Source organism: Homo sapiens, chromosome 3, assembly GCF_000001405.40.
Source record: "Homo sapiens chromosome 3, GRCh38.p14 Primary Assembly".
Classification (NCBI taxonomy): domain Eukaryota; kingdom Metazoa; phylum Chordata; class Mammalia; order Primates; family Hominidae; genus Homo; species Homo sapiens.
This window is the reverse complement of record NC_000003.12, coordinates 29,616,136-29,643,820: the sequence shown is the minus strand read 5'-3', so window position 1 is coordinate 29,643,820 and position 27,685 is coordinate 29,616,136. Positions and strand designations below refer to the sequence as shown.

The window sequence follows — 27,685 nt, the reverse complement described above, 5'->3', positions numbered from 1 at the left end:
CGAGATCAATATTACCTACAGCTTGACATTCAGAGACAACGACAGAACTAAATATCCATTAACTGTCTCTTTTCTCCGGCCTTTTCTCTAGAAACCTCCCTCAAATCACCCACATTGATAGAGAAATGACATGAAAAATGGCCCACAAACAACGGCGCTTTCCTTGAAGAAAACAACTTTCACGTTTTTCTCCCTTTTTTCCCTGCAGACTGTGTTACGCTCCTTAATTTGTCCCTGCACAAGAAATAAGCATATGGATCCGTGAATGTACCCTTCCTCCTCTGCTGCATTCTGAAAGGAAAGTCAGAAGCTCGTCAAACTTAGAACTTGAAGCTAAGCTAAGACACCCTCGGCAATGCAGGGGAAAAGTAGGAATGAGAACAAAATGAAAAATCCTGAAGAAACCACTCTGGGGGAAGAAGTCAACAAAGAAATTATACCACTATGAGGCTCATGAAGCCCGTGCAGGCCAAAAACCTTGTTCCTAAAAGCTCCCCATGTGTGGCTGCTAATGCACAGGAAATGTGATTAGCTGCCTGAGAAAGGCCTAGAATTACTCCCATTCTGACTAGATTACTGGATAATTAGATTGGTAGCGCTCTTCCCTGACTGTGGCTGTCAGATTAAATCTGGCTGGTTCTCTTTAGATAACTGTCATGCCCCAAAATAACAAACAGAGACTGACACAGCGAGGAGCCTTTTAAAAAGTGTTCCAAGAATCAAAGTGCCTATTTTTTCTTAATAATAAAACATGAACAATGTTCAATGGACTTGAGTTTATTCAAATTGTCATTATATTTGATTAAGAAAATGCTACCAGACAAAGCCTGGCCAGACAGGCTTAATCTCTGATGGTAAATGAACATCGCCAGGCTTGACTAGCCACCTCTGGGATCGACTGAGGGAAAGGCAGACTTGAATTACTCAGAGAATAAGCCAGTGGTTCTGTTTTAATGCTCTGAGTCAGCAGCCTTTTATAGCTCAAATCAAGGTCAACAAGATATGTAGAGCACCTTCTCTGAGCACTAGCTGGAACACGGCGGCTCTTCTTTCTTCCACTCTGAGACAAGAACACATGCGCTTTTCCTGTAAGTGTTGTCTCCCCAGTTATTCTGGAGACCATCCAGAAGAGAATGAGAATAAAGAAACCAACAGAAGAAAGGTACAAAGGGTCCCAGGTTCTTACCAAGTTCCCACAGTCTTGTTCTGCTGTCCCTAGTGACTAAATGTTTGCAGTGACTGGGGCAGTGTTTCCTCAGGTGTTATAGCCTGGCCTCTGGCAAGAGATGGGAAAGGGGATAGAAAGATGAAATGCTTTTTGGTGGTACACATGAAACCATACATTTTTACTTATTTTATTTTTATATGGCAAATATAACTGATTTTCTATTTATAATAGAGATACAAAGTTTCCTTTTTAAGGAAACTAACAACAAAGTGTTCAAAAATAAACATAGATGATCAATTTGTTTTAAGAAAAGGTTAACAGGCAGGTATGGCAAAATGCAAATATAACAAAGGTGGAAAGCTGAGAAACCTGGGTGTAAATAAGAGAAGACAGAGCAAAGCATCAGATCAGATGGTGAATCCCAGCATTTCCACTTAGAATTGCAAACTCTTGGGCTAGTTCATTCACTTCACCCAGGGTCAGAATCCACTCATTGGCAGATCTACGGGTTATAACCTTTCTGATCGCAGAAAGTTGTAAAATATCAGCAGTGAGCCTGCCACAGCGTGCATGTTCAGTAAGTGAAAGCAGTTATTGCTTTTAACAAGTGGAACTGGAGTTCTATGTATCTCTTCATAAAATGCCTAAGAAATGTCAGTTCTCTTTGGGTAGGACTTGCCAAATCTCCTCATTGTTTGGTTCCCTCTTTCTTGGGAGGACAGCTCTAAGAAGAATCCCTTGGCTTCAGATGTTTAATATGCATCTCCAAAGCCCCTAGAAGGACCAGGCAAATTTCACTGTGCCTCTGCTCTTCATGGACACCACTGACTTTAGCATAAGTGTCCTGGTCTTTACATCTCTCACCCTGTGCAGTGTGCCTGTCTTGAGTAGATGCTCAACAAATGTTACCTCAGTGAATATGACAATTAAAGAAGCAGTGCAGTATACATTTTTTAAATTCAAATGTTCATACAGTATACAAGAGAGAAAAAAACAAGTGGCCAAATCTTTTTCAAACTCAATAAAATAAGCTAAAAAATTAAAAGTCATTGCCATTTCTTTTTAAAGTGAATGTATCTATTGTTTAAAAAGTATTTGATATACTACTAAAAGTAATAATTGGCACAAACATTCTGGAAGGCAATTTAGCAGTACATTAAAACGTGTATGAAATATACATTTAAGATATACCATTTGATTCAGCAATTCTAACTTTAGAAATCGATTCTAAACCAATTATTATGAATATGTAGAGATATTTACTTATAAGGATGGTCAATGCAGCCTCTTTGAAATACTGGTGGTTTGGAAACAACCATTATGCTCAGCAATATATTTTTAAAATACAGTATGATACTGCTTTACAAATGGGAAAGCATGTGGCCACTGAAAATAATTTTTTTGAACAATATTTAGTAACAGGGAAAATGATTTAGTTTATACACAACTTATCAGATTAAAATACAATATGTATGAATAGATTCATTTTTGTAATTTGTCTTTAGATAAAGAAGGAAGAATAAAAGATACCAAAATGACAGTTATCGCTTGCTTCGGAGGTGAGACTATAGAGGATTTTTATGTCTTTCCTAGTTATTTTTCTTGAAGTTTCTATTATGAACAAATACATTTCATAGCTAATTTATTTTGTGCAATTGGCCAAGGACTATGCTAAGTTTGTTACATGTATTATCATGTAATTCTCACAAAAGCCCTATGAAGTAGGAAGAATCATTATCCCCATTTTTAAAGATGGGTAAACACAGCTGTAGAGACAGTAAATAACTTACCCAGGGTCACACAGGAGTAAGGGGTAGAGATAGCCTTCAAACTCAGTTTATCTGACAGCAGAAATGGAATATTTTAGGGTTAAATACAATACTGTTTCATATGTATTATTCTTTATATAGGGTAAAAAGCTACTTTAAAACAAGGAAAAAATGCCAAGGACCACTATATGATTGATAGCAGAAAGAATTGTACAGATGAATGTAAAATCATTAAAATGTTTTCCTCCACTTTGAACCAGTGGAATCTATGCACGATCAAATAGTTCAGTGTAAATTATTTTGTGTAACACATCATCCTTCAAGAACCCAGGGATTTTATTTACAACAGACTGACCAATTGATGTTTCTAAATATTAACTAGTGAAGCAAGCTCTTGGTCCTATAGAATTTTAAATTATCAAACTTCGCTTATCTTCTGTTAAATTTAGAATTGTGTTTGTTTAAAATGTCTAAGAATGATCCCCGAAGCTTAATCATTTTCCTCATTGTTATGCAGGTAATATATGCTCAATTTTAACATCCAGAGATAAACTTTCTACCTTTTGCTGTTTTCTTTCCGTCTTTCGTGTGTGTGTGGGTGTGTGTGTGTGTGTGTGTGTGTGTGTGTAACCAAAATGTCAATAAAATGTTTACTGCATGAGATTATCCAGATATTTTAGATTTCTGGAGTCATCCTAGTACATCTGGGGAAATACTTGGCATAGTTACACATCTGTATCTGCTCATATGCCATTCTGATTTGCTAGCATTCCTTTCTCTCAGCCTTGTATCAACCTGTAGGTAGAATATAGTGACATAGCAGTGGCTTTTCTCTTAAGCCCTTCCAGAGCATGCTTCCTGATGGTCAGGGCATAGGAGGGGATTATATCAGAGTTCAGGACAACACATTATAGCAAAAAGTTTATGTTTCAATAGCAGATATCCTTCTTTTTTTTATATCTCCCCGTCATCTGAATACCTCATTGAACAGTTATTCAATTTTCTCCTGGAACTTTAATCTCTTGTTCAGTGTCTCTTCTTTTCCCTTTAAAAAATATCTGGCCTTCTTCCAAGAAAAACCAGGGAAGTAAAAATTGCTGTTGCTCTTCGGTTATGCTTTGTCTCACACTCATCCTTCTCTCAGGCAGATACTGGGCTTCTCTATTTATATGCAAGTGTTTTTCTAAACAAAAAGAGGACTTCCAAGGCCAGCTTTTACAGTGACACTTTTTATTTATTCTGTGCTGCATTCTGATCATTCTCTCTCTCTCTCTCTCTCTCTCTCTCTCTGTCTATCTTCTATCTATCATCTATAGTGTATATTCTGGTTTTTGCCATACAGTATTTTACAGTGAACATTTTCTCATCTTAGTACAAACACTATGGAAGCAGAATGTAATGGCCAAGTAAATTCAACCTTACAGATGTATTAGTGTGATGTTTCCAAAGTTTGCAGAATGATAAAAGTATCACTAGGCGTGTTTATAAAAAAAATACAATTTTCAAAAATTTCCCCTTGGATATTTTGATTTGGTAGGTCTGGGATAGGACCTAAAAATCCATAGTTTGCAAAAAGTGTTTCCAAATTATCCTTCCTGTATATGATCATCTCCTTTCCCTTAGACATGAAAGTCATTTCTAACTTTTTGTAAAAGTAGATAAATACTATTAATTTCTGGAAACTTTCAGAAAGAGATTAAGTTAAATCGCTTGGAAATTCAGCCAAGGTAGACCATGTAAACGTGCCTAAAGCCTCACCCAGGCCTCTTCCCTCAAATTGAACTATTCCTTACAATGTCATTTTTGTGCCTTTGTAAGTAAACCAGAGTAAATAATTTGAAATTTGTAAGATTTCAAAATACAATACGATAAAAGAAACTTTTAACTCTTAAAGAAAGGATTATTATGATTCACACTTATAGCAGATACAGGAATCAAAATATTTTCTAATATTTCAAATAAAAAATGTAGTCTTAATTTACAGCGATATACATTAAGAAAATTTTCCAGCTCGAAGCAATGTCTGATCAACAACAAAAATATACCTAATACAGTAATGCCTAAAGAATAACAGTTTTTCAACCTTTCCTATAATATTTCAAGTGAAGTAATGTCTACGATGAAATTTTAGAGTAGGAGAAATTACGGGATGTGTTGGCCTGTATCTTCCTTGCAGATCTTTGCAGATTTCAAATGCTTTACAAAACATTCACCTAAAATGCAACTGAGCATTTCAGGATTGAGGCTATCTTTTAGTAGTTCCAGGACGGCAAGAATTGCGAATTGTACTGCAAATAGTGACCATGATACACTCATCAAAAGTTTCTGAGCTCTGCCAAGTAACAGAAGATGGTGATGAATAAACTATCAAGTAATTTTTCAGCTGTGAGAGAAAATCTTATAAGCCACATGATCCAGGGAGATTAAATGAAATTCTCAGAATAATATCAGAATATTAAGAGTTGTGAGTTACAGCCTTGGTGGATTAATAATTTTAACTATATAGCCATCATATACTGTAAGATAGGCTCATAATCTATCCTTGACATGGATTGAAATTCAATACATGTTCTTATTCCAGAGGATGATATTCCTTGTGAACCTGTCCTAGCATGTTTTTCAAGATAGATACAATATGTAAAAAAAAAAAATTACTACAAGAAAACTCATTAGCATATCCTTCTCTGATATATTAAAATTGTGTTTTGGGCTCTGATGTCTTCTTATTTGGTGGGGATAGGGGGACGTGTCTTCCTGTGCTTTCCAAGAACATATTTCCAAATTGCTTAACACACTCAAACATACCTTGACCTATGTGGTATCCTATTGAAATAAACATAGCTGTTTAAGACAAATAGTATCCTTTTACAAACCATGATTCTTCCAAATGGATGGATGTTCAAAGGAGATGAATAGATTTTGGTTTTGGTTTTGTTTTGCATTGGCAAAGAGGAAAGAAGGTGGCATCTAACTACTACCAGTGGCTTCTTAGGGGTCTTTCAATGCTTGGATAATTTGAGTGTTGTCAGGCAAGTTTATTGCTTTTAATGCTATTAGTCCTATTTGATAAAGAGAGAAATGGTTTCCTCCAGTGCCCATGTTGTTATGGGCACTAAATGCTTTATACATGTATCCTGGTAATAAATACTCCATAATGAGGAAATGAGGGACTTACAAAGTTAATACATTACTAAACTTAGTGTTTTAATATAAAGTCCATTAAGCTGCCTGTACATGCAAGAGAGGTGCTTCTTAAACTTGCCTGATGATAACAGAAACTTAAGATGCTTATTAAAAGTATAGAAACTTGGGTATCACCTAGGCCTCAATCTCCAAGATAAGAAACTTAAAATCCACATTTTAATAAGCTCATATGTCTTGTAATCAGACTATTTTAGAAGCATCAAGTTATAGCAAAGTTTGGGGTTCTGAAAATGTTGTATTTAAGAAAGACGTAAAGAGGAAGGATCCTTTCATTTCCCTTTAACCAACCTTAACCAAATTAACTTGGCTGCTGCATCTTTCGGAGGTGGTGGTGGGTAGAGCATATCAACTAAGGTTTCTATATGGTTTTTAGTTTCTGCCTATGGCAACCTAAAACCACCAAGAAATCCAGAAAACATAGAACTTCTGCTTGCTGCCTTCATTTGCACAGGCACCAACAGGAAACAGCAGTCCCCAGGGATGTCAATCTGGCATCGCTTTGGATCAGCAAATTAAGTAGAAATAAACTCACAAATGAGCAACAAGAAAAAAATGGAAAGTGTTGCTTCCTGCTGAAACAAATTTTGAGTGGCATCATTGTAAATAAAAGGCAGGATGCTCCTATGTGAGAAACTTTCTCCAGCCTCATTAGGAGCTTCCATGCTGCTAATAACCTGGGTCTGAAATTAGAAACAGTTACATTTCACACATACATGATATGTTGCCTGATGCTTAGTTGAGATGACCCATTTGCTACTTTGCATAACTTAGACAAACAGTTGCCTGCTCTTTCCATACTGATAAATCTTTTACTCTTTGTTCAGCCAGTTACTTTACTCATTAACGAAAATAAAACTTAATTAACATGGTGCACCATATACCTATTTGGAAAACCGCCTCCCATGACAGAAAGACAAGCAAGTAATAATGCTTTCATTTACCATGTGAAGTCGTGCTGCGCAAATACATTTATGCCTGAGGTGACACTAGTATTGCAAGTATTTCCAACACAAATGCTCATACAAAATAACTTTGCTTCTAACATGCTACCCAACAACTAGAAACCCATTAAATGGCTTAAATTTCATTTCCAAGGGGAAAACTTGTTGGGCATTCTATAATCCAAAAGCCAAAACAAAACAAGACAAAATAACAATGAAATTCTAAACAGATTACCAGCCTTCCACCCTCCCCTCGCACATACCTGAATAGTTTCAGTGACAGAGCATTCTAGTGACAGCCATTTATTGGCTGTAGTGTGTTTGATTTCCTTTAGAAAAATTTTTATTTGCACTTTACAACTATCATTAACTTCAAAGGATACTGACAGTTCTCAAGTTATTAAGTTAAAAGGCAGCCAACTTTTAGCTGGAGTCACTTCAAATTAATTCTGTCTTACACGGCCACACTGGGTCATTTCCTGAGCTGGTGGCAATAAATAGCCCTTATTTTAATATAAACACAAGTGAGTATAGTAATGCTTTTCTGATTAAAATGCTCAGAACTGGACAAGACCTAGACTTAGTGTAAACCATGGGTATTTTTTCACCATCTGTGGTAGAAACTATTTATCTACACAGTGTACATTCTTTCTCCCTAACTGAAAACACACACACACACACACACACACACACACACACATTCTTGATGACAGCATCAGACCCTTCTAAATATTTGCATTTCCCAGGATCCCTTGCAGCTACAGTGGCCTTATGGTATTGTAACAGGATTTCTTAGTTTTGCTTTCTGTGGGCACTGTTTCTTCCTTGCTTGATTCTTTTCCATTCTTCCACCTGGACCCATAGGTAGGAGATTTGGGACATGGATTCTAGTGGAAAGGGACGGAGGAGGAGAGCTGAGAAGTACAGTTAATTAGGATTATACCTTAAAACTATTATACTTCAAAAGCTACTAGAAACCCTAACGTTTCAAGAGAATAGGAAACGTGTATCTTGATCAATATGTAACCCCAGTTCCTGTGGCTTTTACCCGAGTGAGACATGCATCTATCGCATGCTGGCTTTTTGCAGTAGAAGGCCATGATCTGTGACCCAACAGTTTAAAAGGATGTCTCTGCCTTTAGTGTTGAGGATAGAAGGCAGCAGAAACTGAAGCAAGGAGAACAACCAGGAGATGTAGCATTCCTGGTGAAAGCTGATGCTGGCTTGTGCCAGAGTTTCACTGGTGGAGAGGAGGAGAAATGGTCAGCTTCTGAATATATTTTGAAGGTATGAACACAAGGATTTCCTAATGGATTCGGTCAGGGTATATTTAAGAGCCAAATGAATAAATCAAGGATCTCTCCAAAGCCACTAGAAGGATGGTACTGCCATCAACTGAGATGGGGAAGGCTGCAGAAAGAGCAGGTTTGTCTGAGGAGATTAGGGGTTTAGGTTTGATGTTTTGAATGTGAAATGTCTAACAGACATCTAAGTGCAGATGTCAAGTAGGTAGTGGTATCTAAAAGACTGGAATGAGAGAAAGATTTGATATGGAAATATAAGTATTGGGAGTCTGTGGCATATATATAATATATAAAGCCATAAAACTGAATGGCATTACTAAGGTAGTGAATGCAGAAACCTCTGAAGTTTTATAAATGCTAAAACCATGGATACAATAGAAGATTAGTAAAACTTGTCTGGTAGTGATTTGTAAGATTGCCTGAAAATTATACAAGTGAGAAGTAGAAATGCTTCTATTTAGAGTACTTCTGCAGAATGCTTCTAGTTAGAGCACTTCTGTGGAACTCCAGGCCTGGGAGAAAGAAGCCTCAAACTAGTGTACTTCAGAAAGATGGGGCTCGATAGGCCAGTGTCAGTGAGGAGTAAAATGCTAAACATGGAGAAGGAAAGGGTGGTGCTTTGGAAGAACCTGTTTTTCTAACCTAAAGGAATAGGAAGTATTAGAAAACGTTATTGTCCTGGTTATGGTTCCCCCAGAAACAGACCCTGAGATAAGGATTTAACTACAAGTGGTTTATTTGGGAAGTGATTCTAGGAAACACCTAGATGGGAAAGGGGGAATAATTCAGTAAAGGAAGAAAGTCAATAAAGAGCGTATTATCAAGTAAGTTACCACTGTGGGAAACTAGAGACCTCTGAGACACAGTATAGAACACCTGCCTTAAAATCATTCCAAAATAGGGGCATTTATTTACCTACTTGCCATTTGTTAGTGATGAGGGGCTGCTGTTTCCAGAAAAACAAGGCTTGCAGGTAGAGGCTCCCATGTTCGCAACCAGCTATTTTCCATGTACAGAGGTAAAAGACAAGGGAATATGACTGGAATATCCATGTGTCTGTAAAGTTACTAAATTGTTGGGGAAGGTAAACTTGGTGTATAAAGATAGTTCATGATCTCTCTTCTAAATGAGAAATGTGTCCATATTAACACAGACAATTGCACATAGTATGTTTCTGCATATGAAAGCAATTTTAATGTTGAGACAACATGCTGTACTTCACAAATGCTAGGTAGTAAAAATCCACCTCAAAGAAGAGCAGCATCAAGGAATGAATGTATCTTTCTCCCTCTTTTGGATACCCACAATGCATAGTACTATGATAAAACACTGTTGGTGATCAACAAAATACCTATCAGATTATTTATTTTTAGTTATTCTGATGATATAAACATCTTCCTTTGTCAGAAGCAAAAATTAGTACTGCAGGTATTAAACCAATCTTTATAAAATTTCTTTATAAGATATTGGCAGGTTAGTTGACTCTATTTTGCTAAATGCTCTTTTAGAAAAAAAGATGAGATTATTGAGTGGGGTTATTTAAATGAAGTCTTTATATACTCATAATTATTAATATTCAGCAGATAAAATGTGGAATGGAAGTCAGAAACCTTGGTATCCAATCTTGATCTGTTAAGGAAATTGGCCAAAAGTAAAAGCTGGATCTTTGATCTGATTACAACAACATGGCAGGGCATTCATCTGTGGATTCCTCTCTCTGTTTCTGGGAATTTGAGTAGGCAAAGATGTCTTCCTCTACTTGTACTATGGGCTGGAGTTTATGGCTCAAGGCATTTTTAGGGTAGAAACAGGTTTGTGCCCATTAGCCACATCAGTAGTTTCCCAAGAAAAAACAAGCTGGAAGCCCTAAAAAGTTCTGTGATGATGTACATTGGGGATAAATAGGTAGGTGAGATCCAGGTCCCCAAGATAGCAGTAAACTTGCATTTAGCACTAACATTAACTCTGGATTCCAAAATACAAGACAATGAAACAGTAATATTATACTATATAAAAATAATCTGATATGCCACAGCCCCTCTTATATCTCATGGTGCTCTTTCTGCATAAGTTTCTTAATTTTAAAATGCATAGTAAATTATATAGTTTTATTGGATGAATCATAAAACAAAACCAAATTCTACCATTATTAGAGGATATATGAAGATATAAGGCTCTATGCCTATCTATTAATTTTCCTGCTTTTTTTCAACTGCATTTCCCCCAGTACAAATAATTCTCTTGGGATATGCACAGATAGCCATACAAGCATTCTATTGTTTCTGCATATTGATATATGGAGATAAAGGCAGTTATGGTTATGTATTTGAAAAAAGCAGCAGAGGCAGGGATCATACTTCAGTAGGATAAGCACAGCAAAAACCTAGAACTTACTTGCCTGGAACATTCTCAAGTGTAATGTATACAAGTACAGTACAATATTTGCTTAGAGATCTTTATAAAATTGCTTTTAGCACATACTAAACCTTATTAGAATAAAAACGAAAACATTTCATTGTGCCAGTTACTTAGAATAATTAAAAAGTGCCAGTAGAAACTGTATCAGGTGTGGGGAAATAAGCAGAGGAAGGATCTGCAGGGCCTTGTTCTTGCACTGTCCACAGAAAACCTCTTAGATTTAATGTTGGGAAGAAAAAACACAAAGATCCATTCTTTGCTTATTAAGTTTTCTACATTCATAAATCTCGTTCAAAGAAGTTACCTTTTGGTGTTCTTAAAATGTCACAAAGATCCATTTAGTCATTTCCCTTGGCTTTTGGATCACAAAATGCTATTTACAAGACTGAGGATTTTCAAAGCCACCACAAAATCCTCTTTGTAATTATCATCAAAAACGCGACCCACACAAATCAAGACAGGAATAAGATTCCCAAGTGCCAAGATACTCAAATGCCCAAATATTTAGTAGCTCTCAGTTTTTAAATGAAAGATAGAATTTAAAACTTTCTAGAATTTCAATGTACAAAAACAACTTGTCATTATCAACCAATAAATCTTAAACAATTATAATCAGATTCAGTTGCACACACTAAGTCCTTTCCCAGTTCTCCTACTCTCTTCTCCCCCTAGGACTGTTAAAGTTGAAAAATGACAAAAGAGATTTAATGCAGAACAAAGATAACTACATAAAAATCAAAATTTTTATTTCTCATACTGGGTATTTAAATGATTGATGGTTTTTAGAAAGTTGCTAACACTTTGAATCATCTGTGCCTGCATCTGCACAAAAGTTAGTTAATATAGTATTTTTCTCTACTCAAATGGAATTCTATTGGTAAAACTCACATCAAAGCACATGCCCAGGCTCTGAACTGAAGCAGCTCTACAGAGAAATACAACAGGCACCAGTTTATACAGAATAAGGAAAGTATCTAATCTAACGGTCATTCATTTGCAAGGAAGTGTTGTAAACACACTTTCTGCACACTGGTTTGCTCTTCTGGTTGGCATGCAAATGCACATGTATGTGTCGCTTGTTCCTCTTTTTGGTTGTGAAGTTTTTTGGGAGTGAGGAGAGTCAGAGGATAATTGCTTCTTGCTTACCATCCACCCAGAGGAAAGAAGTTTTGAAAAGTTAACCATGCCTCTCCTCCCCTTTTCTGTTTAATTTGCACAGATCATTAGCAAGTGAAAGGTACTCTGCAAACAGAACAAAATAGGTTTCCAGATAGACAAATAGTGATTTACAAAGACTAGAAAAAAACATGCTTAAACTAGGCTATTCATTGTAGAAAATCTCATTACAAATGAATCAATAAGCATCAGCAATACGGGGACATGTGTGATTATTTTGGTTAGGGTCAAATTTTGTTCTAGTGGGATTCTGGTGTTTGACCTGTGGTGTGTCAACATGTCTTACTAAAGGATAGTAATAATATTCTAAAACTATTGAAAAATAATTATACTTATATTTATATGAAGGTTAATAAAAATCTTCTATGGAAATTTGAACGCCTTATTTCCTCTGGGATTGAGCTATCAGATGACTCAAGAATATTTATTATTTATAATGCTTTATCTGACTGAGACCCTCAAGATAACAGAAAAGCAGTCAGAGATGAAATGATGGCACCAAAATTGTACATGTCTAGAGACAAATAAAAGAACAAATATAACTTGGCAAGGTTATTATTCATCTATTTATCATAGTGTAATAGAAAGCTGTAAAAAAGTAGAGCCTCAAGGAATGTTCTTATTTTTATGTGCTCATATATTCACATTATTTAAGAAGTTTTGTATTATTTATTGTCTTTACAGTGATAGTTATAATGCAATTAGGAGAAAGAGAAAAAGTTTCTGACTTTCTGAGTCACTTCTCTTAATACCAACTAAATACCTCTTAAAATACTCAAATTTTGCTAAGCATTAGAGGATATTAGGTCCTGAGTTTAGAATAAAAACAATATTTTTCTACTGCCCAATAATGGGCAATAGAAAGCTCTGAAATAAGAGTGAAGTTATGGTTTTGAAACCAATCCTAAAACAAGAAAACTCCCTTCCCAGTCATTGGCTACCCAGCACCAAATTCTAATATTCCCATTGGTCTGAAATGTTCAAATGCTAACTTGGTCTAAAATGAATCATTACTTGTTTGACCAACTTAAACATTTTCTAAAAAGCATCATAGTATTCCAGTGTTTTAAAAATTTGCTTGAACATAAGAATCACCAAGAGTGATAATTATAAATATAGATTTCCAAGACTTACTCTTGAGGATTTGGATTCAAAGGCCTGGGATGGGGCTTAAACATTATATTTCTAACCATAAATGCCAGTGATGACATCTATGATTAAGCCAGTTGCTATACTGTGTTGATATGATTCAGAAAGGATTCAAGAATCTTCTCTAGTGAGCTTGTTTTCTCTCTCTTCCTTTTTCCTTCCAATTCTTACTAATTTTTGTGGCAATCAACAAGAATTGACTGAGTTTCCTATGTATAGCAGGCACTGTAGTAGGCACTGGGGGAAATTGACAATGAGTTGGTCCCCAATTCTTCCTCTCAGATGGCTCATTATTTGGAATAATAGAAATCTATAACACAATAAAACACTTGTGAATGAATAATGACAATATCCATTTCTCTAAAATTCTCCTAACTTGAACAGTTGCTGTTAGTGACTATGACATCATTCACCAGCTTTTCTATGCTGTACGACAGAATTAAAAAACAAAACTGAGTTGGCATTCAATGAAAGTCCTACTCTACATTTTGTGAAAGGGACTATTAACCTATTTCTTGTTCCATGGAAAATGAGATGCTTTTTCCAGATTCTTCAAGGGCTGGCAAGATGGAAGAAGCAACAGAATTCAAAGAGAAAAATAAAAACTGCAAAGGTAGAGTGTGGCTACTAAGTTTCAGCCACCTTCTAGGAAAAAAACAAACAAACATATATTGGTTTTTAGTTTCTGACATCCTATCTTTTTCTGTTTCATAACATGAGAAAGGGATGATTTCCTGTGACCTACTATGAATTTAATACAGAATTAACATCAGTAATGATAACGCTAATCCTTTGGTTTTAATTTTCAAGATTTGTACTGGAAGATATTAGTGCTTACACTGAGAAATTCACGTTAGTCTAGAATAGATAGCAGCCTTGTCAGGTCAACTGTATTTTAAGCTGTGAATTAGTTTCTGAGTTAACATTGACTTAAAAATTGGACTGAAAAAGGGTATAGGACATAAAATAAAATCAATTATTGACCAGCTGCTGATTCACCATTTGGCCTTAGAGAAAATTCAAATTCTTGATAGGAGAAAGAAAAAATAGTTCACAAGACAACTATGGATGAGTTCCCTGTTAGATAAACTGTATTTAAAAACCATGCTATCTGAATCTGCTCATTATCTTGAAATGTAACCAATTCATTGTTAAGACATAACATTTTTACCAATTTTAGCAGTCTCCACTTAGAACATTACATATAAAATGTTCAAATACAGAGAAAATGCCAGTTTGAACTGAGCTCTTGTTTTAAAAAGAGAATATATTTTTGTATAACTACTCAGGGCAAAGAGGTTTATTTTTATTTATCATCACCAATGTTCCTTTGAGGCAGCTTTCACAAATGAAGAAACTGAGACACAGAAGAGTTAAATAATTTGCCCTCATTAAAATAGCCTGCAGATAGCAGAGAAATGTGATTTTAGCTCCATCTGGCTCTGGATTCTCAGCACTTTTCACTTTGAATCCTTTCAAGTCTTTAAAGTAGAAAGTAGATAGTCCCATCATTAGGATGTAAATTACTTATTTCATCAATTCTAAAATGCACATTTTTTCACATTTTAATGGTCTCTGAAATTAGGATTCTTCTTAAAACAGCTACCAACCAGATACAATCATTATGTCATCATGATGGCCTGCATATGCACTTCAAAACATCAAGAATGGGTGGTTTGGAAGAAAACCCCAGAGACATCGGTAGAGCATCCTTCCAAGCAATGCTGTGTCAACGATGGTCTTGATGACACAGCTGAGCACACTGTGTGAGGGAAAACACATGGACAATGACAATTCTCAGTCAAAAAATCACTTAGAATTAGATTCTAATTGTGAAAAACAGTTTAGAATGATTTACCTTAATTTGCTTATGCTTTCCTTTTTATGAGCACACAAAAAAGATTTTTAAAAATCTATACCTAAATAAATCTAAAGGAACTATATGAAAATATCTTAAGTTATGAAACAGTGTGCTGTCAGCGTAAAAACAATGTTTTTTCTTTTCTTGTGTTATATGAAATAATGATGAACATATGAAACGTATACTGATGAACATGAATAATGTACATATATAATGGTACATGTAAAAGTTACATATATAATGATGCATATAAGAAGTACAATAATCACATCCTTTAAACACTTCAAATGTGAGGGTTTCAGGTGAGACGTTGGTGTACTCATTCAAACTTTCTGTAGTCATAAGAGTTGGATACGGCAAGTACCAGCCCCCTATAAAAACCACAAGGCCCCTCTGAAGTTTACTCCCACTGAAGTCCATTCTGAGAGGTAGGTGGAAAAGGTAATCTGAGGAGAGAATCACTGACACAGCCAGTTTTATAAGAGGAAAGCCTCTATCCCTCCCTTTATCTAGCAGGGAAATGTTTCAATTTCATTGACAGTCAATGTGGACTTCAGCCCATTTTTTAAATTGTTGTTTACACAAAATCATGAACTCATGGTATAGCTGAAGCATCCCTCTGTTTCATGTTTATATTGAGCATTAATTAGCCAACTACAGTTGACCTGTGCAAGAGTTCCCTCTCATAACAGATGTATCACTCCCTCCACATTCTTCTAAAACAAGGGCTAGTATCAGTTTCTGTTTTATATCTGACTGATGATGGTATTGGGTTTTTAATCCGGTAATTTAATATGTCTGTTCAATATAGGATTGATTTCCATATAAACAATAATGGACCAGGTCTTTTGCAGAAGCTGGGCCTCTGCTTGGGAGTACATGGTGGTTTCTCTACACTGGCTCCTTAGAAATCAAGTTACCCCCTCATATCTGACACAGCAGAGGGACCTGAAAGATACATAATGGAGCATTAGACAGTATCAAGATCAGCTGATTAACCACTTATCTTTCTTGCTTCCTCTCTCTCTTCCTCCTTCTCTCCCTCTCTTCTTTTCACAAATATGCATAGAGTGCTTACCACATGAAAACAGATGGTAAGTAGGACACAATTCCTGACCAAGATAAACTCACAGTCTATAGGAGGAAATGTGTATGTAAACATTATTAAAAGGCAAACACTTATTTCAAGGGGGTACATTCAGGAGCACATAGGAGAGATTAAATTCCTTCTGGGATATTCACAGAATGCTTTCCTGGAGGAAGTAGTATCTAAGCTAACATATAAACAATGCTTTAGAGTAGTGGTTCTCAACTGGGGACAATTTTGCCTCCTAGGACATCCTGACTGGGGTGGGGAAAATGCTGTACCACTGGAATTATTAGGTAGAGGCCAAGGATTGTTATGCTAAATATCCTACAATGCAAAAGACAGCCCCCTACAACCAGGCTTTATCCAGCCTCAAATGCCAATAGTGCTGAGGTTAGGAAACTCTGCTTTAAAGTTAGCGAGGCAGAAGAGAGAGAGAGAGACAGAGAGAGAGAGAAGAGAGAGAGAAAGAGAGAGAGAGAGAGACAGAGATACTCACTTTATACTAGGTGAGATGTTCATCCATGGGGAGAGGTGGTAGATGTCCTTGTCAGCACTTTAATGCCAATTGCTGCAATAAATATTTTTTTAAACTAACATTTGGATAGTTCCTGAGAGCTACAGTGCAACTGAAGTCACTTCATCTTATTAAATCCGTCACAGTAATGAAAGAGGTAGATATTCTTATTACTATTTTTCAGATAAGGAAACTAAGACTCAGAGAAAAAAAGTGACAGAACGAGGGTAGCAACCCAGGCTTTATTATTCTATATAATATGATAGCCACCTTTTTCTTGCATTCTGAACTGCCCTTGGCACTTTGCATATACTTACTCACTTAATTTTATTACTGTTCTCATTTGGACATGTAAAGAAACTGAGGCACAGAAAGATTAAGTAACATCATCAGTGATTTAGTTGGTAATGAATCTGAGATATCAGGACTTCTTGTTTCAGGGCCCTGAATCTCAACACTATGTCCTTGTTCTATTTACTATATTACACTTTGTAATATTTATTAAACATTGGCATTTATATCTATCCTGCCGATATGCAGGTGCTTTGTGGTTTTTAACTCCTCATATTGATGTTTCCACTACAATATCTGTATATTCCCATTTTATTGCTCAATGATTGCCAAACAAAAATGGTAGCAAAATACTATTCATATGCTGACCAAAAATTTTTCTTGCAGGTCATTCTGGATAAATTATTATTTCCTAATATTTAGATATAGGCCACTCATTGCCACTTTGCCACTCACACTGCAATATTTATCCTTAAATTGTATCTTCCACAGGTTAGAATGGCTAATATTGATATCCAGAATTAGGAGAGCTTGATCACGTTTTGCCAAAATTCATAGGCTTTTACTTTCAATCAGATGTTCCTGACTTTTTGTAGTCTCCTGTTATTATTATCATTTTTTGCATTCTTTCTCCTTTGAATCACAAACTAAGTTTTAAGAATGGGGTAGGCCAAATATTGGTCTCCCCATTTTACTAATGACTCCCAAACGCAGAGTTTAAGTGACTTGTCCTAGAACAAATTATCAGCTAGTGCAGAGCTGCTAAGCCCGTTTTACATTTTACTACATGATGCATTGTTTCCAGATCAGGAAAACAGCTTCCTGAGAGCCATTCTTCCTTCTTTATAATCAAATGCTCATGTAATTAAGCATAGGCACCCATCACATACACACTGTTATATTTTTAAAGGGCTTTTTGTTGGTTGCCACTAAAATTAGTAATTGAGTCATATTCTGGAACTGTTCTTTTCCCAGTAACTTCAAAGGAGGTGCATATCCCCAGGATGGCCGTCTTCTTATATCTCAGCAATGAACTAATTTGGTGACCTTCCTAACCCCTGGGCAGCACATTTGCTGTTCTGGAAGAGTTTATACACTTTATAGATTAAGCAGAGATTACTGGCCATAGATCACAAAAAGCTGTCAAAGCTGATGGATGGTGGCTCTAAAGAAGCTTCACCAAGAAAAGATTATTTTTATTTATTTATTTATTTATTTATTTATTTATTTATTTACTTTAATGGCGTTTCACTCTTTTTGCCCAGGCTGGAGTGCAATGGCGCAATCTCAGCTCACTGCAACCCCCACCTCCCAGGTTCAAGTGATTCTCCTCTCTCAGCCTCCCAAGTAGCCAGGTTTATAGGTGCACACCACCACACCCAGCCCAGTTAGTTTTGTATTTTTAGTAGAGATGGAGTTTCACCACTTTGGTCGGGCTGGTCTCGAACTCCTGACCTCAGGTGATCCACCTGCCTCGGCCTCCCAAAGTTCTGGGATTACAGGCGTGATCCACTGTGCCTGGCAAGAAAAGACTTCTTGCATCAAATTGTCTTCTACAGGATCAAAGGTTTTGCTTACACTTGTTCTAAGTTGGTTCTATGTGGTCTGTTACAAAAATGCCACAGAAATATAAAAAAATAACTGTGGTAAGTAATGCCACAGCTTGCTTGAGTACGGAGAATTTTAAAAAATTTGTAGTCAATTGTATTAGTCCATTTTCACACTACTATAGAGAACTACCTGAGACTGGGTAATTTATAAAGAAAGAGTTTTAAATGAACCACAGTTCTGCAGGGCTGGGGAGGTGAAGGCAAAAAGGAAGCAAGGCATGTCTTATGTGGAGGCAGGAGACAGAGAGGGTGGGAGTGGGGAACAGCCAAACACTTTGCAACCATCAGATTTTGTGAGAAATCACTCACTGTCAGGAGAACAGCATGGAAAACCCACCCCCATGTTCCAATCACCTCCCACTGGGTCTCTCCCTCAACACATAGGGATTACTATTCAAGATGAGATTTGGGTGGGGACACAGAGACAAACTATATCAACAATTTTGTAAGTCAAGAAAAAATTTGATGGGACCAAGAGATACATTCCTTTCCTTCAAAAGATATCGTCATACACTGAACCTTCTATATTCCTTTCCTTCAAAAGGTATCATCATATACTGAAAATTCTTTGGGAAACAAAGAATATGTTTATACCTATTTATGCTCATATATGTGCTCCTTTTATTGTTTTAAAATTTTAAAATGAACATAAGACGTATATAACTATGAGAAACATAAACGAACTATGGCCCTTGGAGTTATCAATTTCTTATATTGCTCTTTTCTCTTACTGCCTTCTTCTTCCCAGTGATCAGAAAAAGAGTTCATAAAAGAATTCTAAAGCATAGTAAGAGTCAGAGATAGAATCTGGCCAATCAAAAGCTATTCTACTAGATACTTATGGACTCGATTTTCAGCATATTCAAAAGTAAATTTTCAATTACTTTGAGGATATCCAAACTGAATATGGATGGAATAGCAAAGGCCTTTAACTTTCATTCTCACAGTCTCACTTTGTAGCAACAAAGCTTTAAAAAAACTGTTGCTTTATAAATTTCAGGGGGTTTTGTTTTTTCAAAGTTTTGGGGAGCTAGACTTCCATATTACTAGCCAAGGGAATTAAATCATGAATAACTTCAATTTGTAATCCTACTTTAAAATAATTTAAAAGTGCTTTCTTAAAACCCTCATATAAAACAATTACACATTTTGGCAAAAGTTTCCTTGGGACTCATGTACACATGCCTAAGAGCATATTTACAGGTAACCTGAGGTATACGTTGGAAGTCTTCGCAAATATGAGTTTTTAGAGTTCAAGTTCGATATCAGTGTAACTCCTGGGATGTTAGGGTTAAATTAAAACATTATTATAGGCATATATTTTAGCACATAGCTAGAATAATAGCCATACTGGCAGTCTGCTTTTTTTTCCCCATAATTCTAGTAAACTATACTCCACAAAATTAATTTGCCAGACATATATTTAAAAATTCTTTTGCTTCCACTGGGAAGTTTGAGAAAATGTTACACTTCATTCATAGTCCATTGTTATCTTTCCATTATCTATTAGTCTATTGATATCTATAATGAAGGGAGCATTCCATTGTCCAGTAAGATGATGAAGGGCATTTGGGATTTTTTTCCTCTAGCTGAAGTTTACTTAGTTTCTTCAGCACAATTCATACACTTTCAATTATAATCTTTTAAAAATGAATTGTTTGTGTAACTCAAAATGTCATTGTTGGAAGTAGTGAGGAAGAGAAATGACTTTTATACCTTTTTTTTTTTTTTTTTGAGACAGTCTTGCTCTGTCGCCTAGGCTGGAGTGCAGTGGTGTGATCTCGGCTCACTGCAAAAGCTCCATCTCCCTGGTTCACGCCATCCTCCTGCCTCAACCTCCCGAGTAGCTGGAACTACAGGCGCCCGCCACCACGCCTGGCTAATTTTTTGTATTTTTAGTAGAGACGGGGTTTCACCGTGTTAGCCAGGATGGTCTCGATCTGCTGACCTTGTGAACCGCCTGCCTCGGCGTCCCAAAGTGCTGGGATTACAGGCGTGAGCCACCGCGCCCGGCCGACTTTTATACTTTTATAATGTTTACTCATTGCCTAGTACTCGGCGTATATTTAAAGTAGTGCTTTAATTACATTATAGCCATCTTAAAATTAAATAGATTAAAATACGCTATTAATAATAATTTAGACCCCCCCCCCCAAGTTAATTTAATCCCCTTTAATTCTCACAGAAACTTCATGAAATAGGGACTCCTTTTTTTTTTTTTGAGAGGGAGTCTTTCTCCCAGGCTGAAGTGCAGTGGTACGATCTCGGCTCACTGCAAGCTTGCCAGTTCACGCCATTCTCCTTCCTCAGCCTCCCTAGTAGCTGGGACTACAGGCGCCCGCCACCACACCCGGCTAATTTTTTGTATTTTTTAGTAGAGACGGGGTTTCACCGTGTTAGCCACGATGGTCTCCATCTCCTGACCTCGTGATCCAACCGCCTTGGCCTCCCAAAACTGGGATTACAGCTGTGAGCCACCGCTCCTGTCCGGGACTACTTTTTAATCCCATTTTACAGATGAGCACACTGAGGCACAAGGAAATAAAGTTACTCCCCTAAGCTTCCACAGTGGCAGAGTTGGAATGTGAACTGGGGCAGTCTGGCTCCACAGTCTGTGCCCTCCATCACTACACATTGTGTCTTCATGTTTGGCATTACTTTTATGGCACTTACTATTCACCTAAGATTCAGGTCCTCTCCTAGACAATGTTTTACATCATAGATGCTACCACTATATAGGACAATGACGTTCAACAAGCCAATTTTATTGTACATTTCATCTGATAGAAGATTATTTTACTGAATAATTCTCATGAGTATATTATGTAAGGCTGTCTCTCAAAATGTCTTCATGCATTTATTTTATAAACTATATTTAGATTCATATTATAAAAACTAATTGCCCATGCACACTCTCAACAACACAAGCTCAGAACAGAGCTTGTCCTCCAATCTGTATTCTGGTAATACACATAGATCTTCCAGGAATATCACATCACCCTATGTGCTTCTTTTTCTTCACGAAATTTTTTACAATGCAAAATTATATTATATTTATTTGGATATTTTTTCAGGCTCTGTCTTCACTTCCCCAGATGTAAGCCCTATAAGGGCAGGAACATTTTATGCCTTGTTTACTCTATAATCAATACCTACAGCACAGTTTCTAAATTATAATAAATATTTGTAGGAGGAATACATGAATATATTCATTGATTTTTTTTCCATGAAATTTTAGAGCTGGAAGAGTTTAGAGTTCACCGGATCCTTTAATTTTATAAATGAAGGCACTATGGTCTTATAAATGAAGAACACAGAAGCGAAATCTTATTTTTTATTTCATCCCTAGGACCTTGCCAGTGCCTGAAGTATAAGTTTTCCACAAGTATATGTAGATTCTCCTACAGCAAAAGCGAAGACTAGATTAGGCATCCCAAATTGAAGATTGGAGCTAATTCCATAAAGTGGGTTTTTTTCTTTTTTCTACAGGTATATGATATCTTTTCAGATTTCCTCTGTTACCTGAGAAACTTTTTTTTTCTTTCATCCTTTTTTTTCTGTTGTTTAAATGGCATTGTGCATACATTTTACTGCCACAACAAAGTAGCATGCTTGAACCAGGCATCTTTAATCTTAACCAAACCAAATATTTGTAGGCATTTTATTTTCATTCTAGAACTTGGTATTATGCTGTCAGGAGACTTCTGATAAGTTATAGGTTGTCCTTTCCAACTAATGGAAGTAAAACTATTCACTTTTATTGAAAGGTTTAATACAAAATACAATGAGGCTCTCTACAGATATAACAACCATCTTTTACATTCATTATTTGATCAACAACAGAGAGACAACTACAAATAATCTGCAGAGTCCCTGATAGTCAGGAGTCCCTTGTTCCAGCCCTATCTTGCACACAAATCACTGAGCATCTTTCTGAAGAGAAGACTGTTTCAATTTTCGAAAGTTCATCCTTTATAACTACATGAGTGCCTGCATTTACGTTTTCATTCCAGCCTTTACAATGTTTTCAGAGGGCATAAGAGTTTAAAGTTCTGCCCCATTATGTATTATATCAGTTGCATTTAAATACATAGAATTATTATGCTGTCTTTCACCCAATAAAAGCAAAAAAAAAAAAGAAGCAGACATTTGGAGCAAGAACACATGAATAAATAACCCCAGAAGACTCACCAAGATGAAAATTCAAGTTTCAGAGACCCTCTATTGGTTTAATTCTGACATGGGCCTGCATGTTCCAGCAGCCTTTATGAGCTATGGGTTTCCTAGGTATGACTTAAGGGCATGGAATAGAGCACTTCATTTAAAAACAAGAAATATTCTATTTCTTAGTCTTAATAGATATGTTCAGATATTAAAATAATTGGTATGCATATTTTATCACAATTAAAAACAATAATAAAGTAATTGGTTAATCACAGTATTTCAGTTATTAGTAAAACCGTAAAATTCAATTCCCTAAAAAGATAACGTTTTTAAAAAGACTAAACTAGTAAATTTAGATTGCTGAAAAAATTTCAAAATAGCCAGGGAATGAGTTCTAGGATGACTTATAAACAAACAACTCTAAGGAAAAAGTTAATTAGACACATTTTTTTTTCTCTGTAAGTGAAATTTCTTTAGAGGATGCCAAAGTTAACTTATGGAATTGGTGCAAAATAAAATTTTAGTTAAAACACACTTTTAAATGCCAATATGAAAATCAAGTACATAAAGATAATATAAATATTATTCTAATTGATTTTTTAAAACATTTACACAGTAAGTGGACCACCTCAATTAAAGAACAGTGACCCATGTCATAAGAGTTTTATCGTAATTGTAGCCCCTAAGATTCTCTTAGTCATGATTTAAAGTTACTGGCGACTTCAATGAGAAGTGAGATATAAGCTTAAACTTCAATATATGAAAGAGAAATCAGGGGCTAAAGTGAAGACTCAAAAATTGTGCAAACAAGTCATTGAAAAGTAGCCAATTACATAGAATATGCAACCTGGAATGTATAAAAAAATTTGTTGTAACATCCTAGAATTGTAAGTGGCACATACAAATATGTCAATAAAAATAAGGATGGCATGTTAATCTAAGCATTAAAGGATCCAATCCAAAATATAAAAGTTCATGCTAGCCAAGAAAAAAATTATTAAATTTATTCTTGCCTTTAATATCTCCAAAATTTTCCATTTGTTTTCTGGAACTGTAAGCTATCCTCACCATTATTCACCCTTATTTTAACTTACAGAAATATTTTCTCAGGATTCAAAGCATTTTTAAGCTTTTTCTCCTGCTCCCCGATTTTTATTCTCTAAGATCAAGGGTTTACAAGCTTTCAATAAATACAATTCAACATACCAGAGTTCCTTGGGAGCATAAAACATTCAACAGGAAAATACTCAGGAAGACAAGAACAAACAGCCTCACGTGTAAAAAAAAAAACTTCACTGTTAGAACGTGCCAGACTCGACAACTTAATGTAAGTGGTGTATAAACTAGATCCTATCCAATAGTGGTTTTAACAGGAGGTATAAAAGTTAAAACTTTCCTTTATTAATAATATAGACCAGCAGCAAAAAAATCCATGTTCCCAAATCTCACAGCACAGAAATTTTGGAATGTTCAACTGAATCAAGTGAGTCATATTTTATAACTGGCAGAGGTTAATCAGAGCATTGTACCCATTGTATAGATGGATACACTGAGGCTTGGTGAGATAAGAGATTATTCCAAGTTCAGCAGAGAGCATATTGCTTCTCCATGTACTGCTTTCTCTATTGCCACATTGCCCATCTGGTGTCTTAAAAAGATCTCCCAACTACATGCCTATATCCATGCTAAGAGAGATACAAAAGAAATTGACAACAGGGTCCTCACCATAAAGAAGCTTACACTATCATGCCTATCATTGTGATTTTTGCAATTTACAGCTATCCATAATTCTAATAAGTACATCACAAATTTTAAAGGAGTTTTTCTTTGTTTGCATTTTTGTTCTTTTTTTAAACTAAAACTGTTTTCTTTATTCATTTTTTTTTTTTTTTACATAAAATACATGTACAGAACATGCAGGTTTGTCACATAGGTATACTTATGCCATGGTGGTTTGCTGCACCTATTGACCCTTCATCTAAGTTCCCTCCCTTCTCCCCTCACCCCACAACAGGCCCTGGCGTGTGTTGTTCCCTTTCCCCTCCCTGTGTCCATGTGTTCTCATTGTGAAACCGTTTTCAGACTCTCACTTCCCTATCATTTTCGACGTCAAATGAAAACATTTTATCCACATGTGCATTTTCCTTCTCACATACTCTCTCACACACTGGAGAAGATCTTGAAAAATGTTTTCTCTGAATAATTCTTTCCCTACCTACTTTTGTTTGGGCTTGGAAATAATCACCACTTGTTCCAGCAGATGCTTCTCTAAGTTAATTTTTGTTGTTGTCATTGTTCTTGTTGGAATAGGGAAAAAGAGAAGCAAATTAAAGCAGCATTCCAGAAAGTTGCTATGGGCTGCACGGTAGGTATTTTCCAAAATTATTACGGCATTTAGAAAGAATTGTTGAGTTATCAGACATTCCTCATAGACGCCCCTGGAAGCCAAAGTATTTTTACTAATATTATGGATCACAAGGGAAAAAAGCCTTTTTTTTTCTGTCAAAAAGTTGATTTTTTGGAACAAGAACTTCAAGGCAGGCTCATCATTATACCATTACCTATCCCCACCCACAAAGGACCACACTGATTGAGAAATGACAAGGAGGAGAAATGGGCTTTGCTCTGTGCTATTTTTTTTTTCTTTCTTTTTTTGAGATAGAGTTTTTGCTCTGTTGCCAAGGCTGTAGTACAATGGTACGATCTCGGCTCACTCTAACCTCTGCCTCCTGGGTTCAAGCGATTCTTCTGCCTCAGCCTCCTGGGTAGCTGGGATTACAGGTACCCACCACCACACCAGGCTAATTTTTGTAATTTTGGTAGAGATGTAGTAGAGATGAGGTTTCACCATTGTGGCCAGGCTGGTCTTGAACTCTTGACCTCAGGGGTTCCACCTGCCTCCGCCTCCCAAAGTGCTAGGATTACAGGCTTGAGCCATTGCACCCGGCCTACTCTGTGCTATTTTTAGATTTTTATTTAATTTCCTAAATAGCTAATACATTTATATCCTTGAAATAGGGATAAATGTTCTGAGGTAGTCTATGAATAGCCCCATCTTCTATCTCTTTTACCCAAACAAGCAACCAGTGTATTTTCTAAGAGATATCTTTGAGGTGGTTTTACAGCATCATACATGAACATATGGATGTAGCCTCCCTACTTCTTTTATCTAAAAAGGTAGCATGTATCATTTAAGTAGTGAATATATATACACACACACATACATACACGCTCCCATGACTTCACTTCCCTGGATATAAGTCCGATAAGCGCAGGGACATTCTCTGCCTTGTTTACTCCATCATCAACACCTACAGCACAGTTTTTAAATCATAATAAATATTTGTAGGAAGAAGAAATGAATATATTCATTGATTTTTTCCATAGAATTTTAGAGCTGGAAGAGTTTAGAGTTCACCAGATCCTGTCATTTCATAAATGAAGGTACTATAGTCTTATAAATGAACAACACAAAACCCAAATCTTATCTTTAATTTCATCCCTAGGACCTTGCCAGTGCCTGGAACATCATGGGATTTCTGTAAGTGTATATAGGTTCCTATATGGCAAAGCAAAGACTAGATTAGGCATCCCAGTTTCAAGATTGGAGCTAATACTAAGTGAGTGAACTACTCCTCAGATAAAACAGTAAAACATCAACAACCCAGAAGCCTTCCTCATGCTCCTTCCTAGTAACAATCCTCCACTTAAAGGTAGGACCTATTCCAACTTTCATCACCCCAGCTTAGTTTTGACAGTTTTTTAGCTGTATAAATGAAATCATAGTGTACGTTCTTTTTTGTCTGGCTTCTTGTACCACCTTCTTAACACAAATGATTTAATTTAACCATTAAGTCAAGTCTGCAATATCAATATCATCTTGCTCATTTTACAAGTCACAAAAATGAAGTTCAGCAACCTTAGTTTTGGAGCTGGTATTAAAACCTGAGGCTCGTCAACGTTAAGTCTGTGTTCCTGCCCAACAGGCAGTATAGTCTTACAAAGACATTCTTTCTCTTCCAGTCTCTGAATATTCTGAATTATCACAAGTTAAGTGACTTTGATGTGGTCTTCTCTCCCTTCCTCCTTTCATCCATCTATCCATCTTTTCATTCATTTAGTGATGTCCCCTTTATGCACTGCAGTGAAAATAAAAATGACTTTTACTCCCACCATACTGCAGGGAGCTATGACTCATATTTTTAGAAACTGATCTTCCTGGGACTTTTCCACCTGTATATATTTCTCCCAACCAGCTTGGATTTTGAATAAGGAACCAGGTTTTTTGGCTTTACTATTGAACATTTTAAATCATAAACATTGATTCCTCTACATAATTGATTCTAATTATTAAATAAAGCTGGACGATTATTGATGAAACATATTCTATTTATTTTCCCAGGAATGTAAAGAATATACTGAATAAAAACAAAATCCCTAGGGAATAATAGCAGGTAAATTTATTGAGGGACATGCGAAGAGGTGTTATTGGGCTCCAAGGTTCAAGGCCTAATCTGTAGCTACAGCACATCAGGGAGGAAGGAATTGGCTACAAAGAAGCACAAGGAATCATTTGGGGGTGACAGAAATATCCACTATATTGACTGGTGGTGGTCTCACAGTTGTACACAAATGCATTGATTTGTAATTTTTGTTTGTTTGTTTGTTTGTTTTTGAGACAGAGTTTCGCTCTTGTGGCCCAGTCTGGAGTGCAGTGGCACCATCTCAGCTCATTGCAACCTCCGCCTCCCCGGTTCAAGCGATTCTCCTGCCTCAGCCTCCCGAGTAGCTGGGATTACAGGCACCCGCCACCATGCCCAGCTAAGTTTTTGTATTTTTAGTAGAGACGGGGTTTCGCCATGTTAGCCAGGATGGTCTCGAGGTCCTGACCTCGTGATCTGCCCACCTCAGCCTCCCAAAGTGCTGGGATTACAGGCGTGAGCCACCCCGCCCGGGCAATTTGTAAATTTTTAAGAAACGCCCTTTGTTGTACACAAATTAGACTTCAATAAAGTTAGCCTTAAAA

General features: G+C 36.4%; 1 protein-coding gene and 1 long non-coding RNA gene across 14 annotated transcripts in view; one reads left to right on the top strand and one right to left on the bottom strand.

The window, feature by feature from the left end:
- The window catches only part of RBMS3 (RNA binding motif single stranded interacting protein 3), a 729,325-nt gene that overhangs the window by 366,575 nt on the left and 335,065 nt on the right, over positions 1 to 27,685 (bottom strand). The gene's annotated exons all lie outside the window — the stretch shown is intronic.
- RBMS3-AS2 (RBMS3 antisense RNA 2) lies at positions 1,005 to 27,685 on the top strand. Of its 2 annotated transcripts, NR_174948.1 has the most exons (3): positions 1,005 to 1,162; positions 2,674 to 2,727; positions 27,342 to 27,685. It is a non-coding gene; the product is annotated as an RBMS3 antisense RNA 2 (long non-coding RNA). The 2 variants fall into 2 exon arrangements; NR_046557.1 differs by lacking the exon at positions 2,674 to 2,727 and having other exon boundaries at positions 1,005 to 1,088.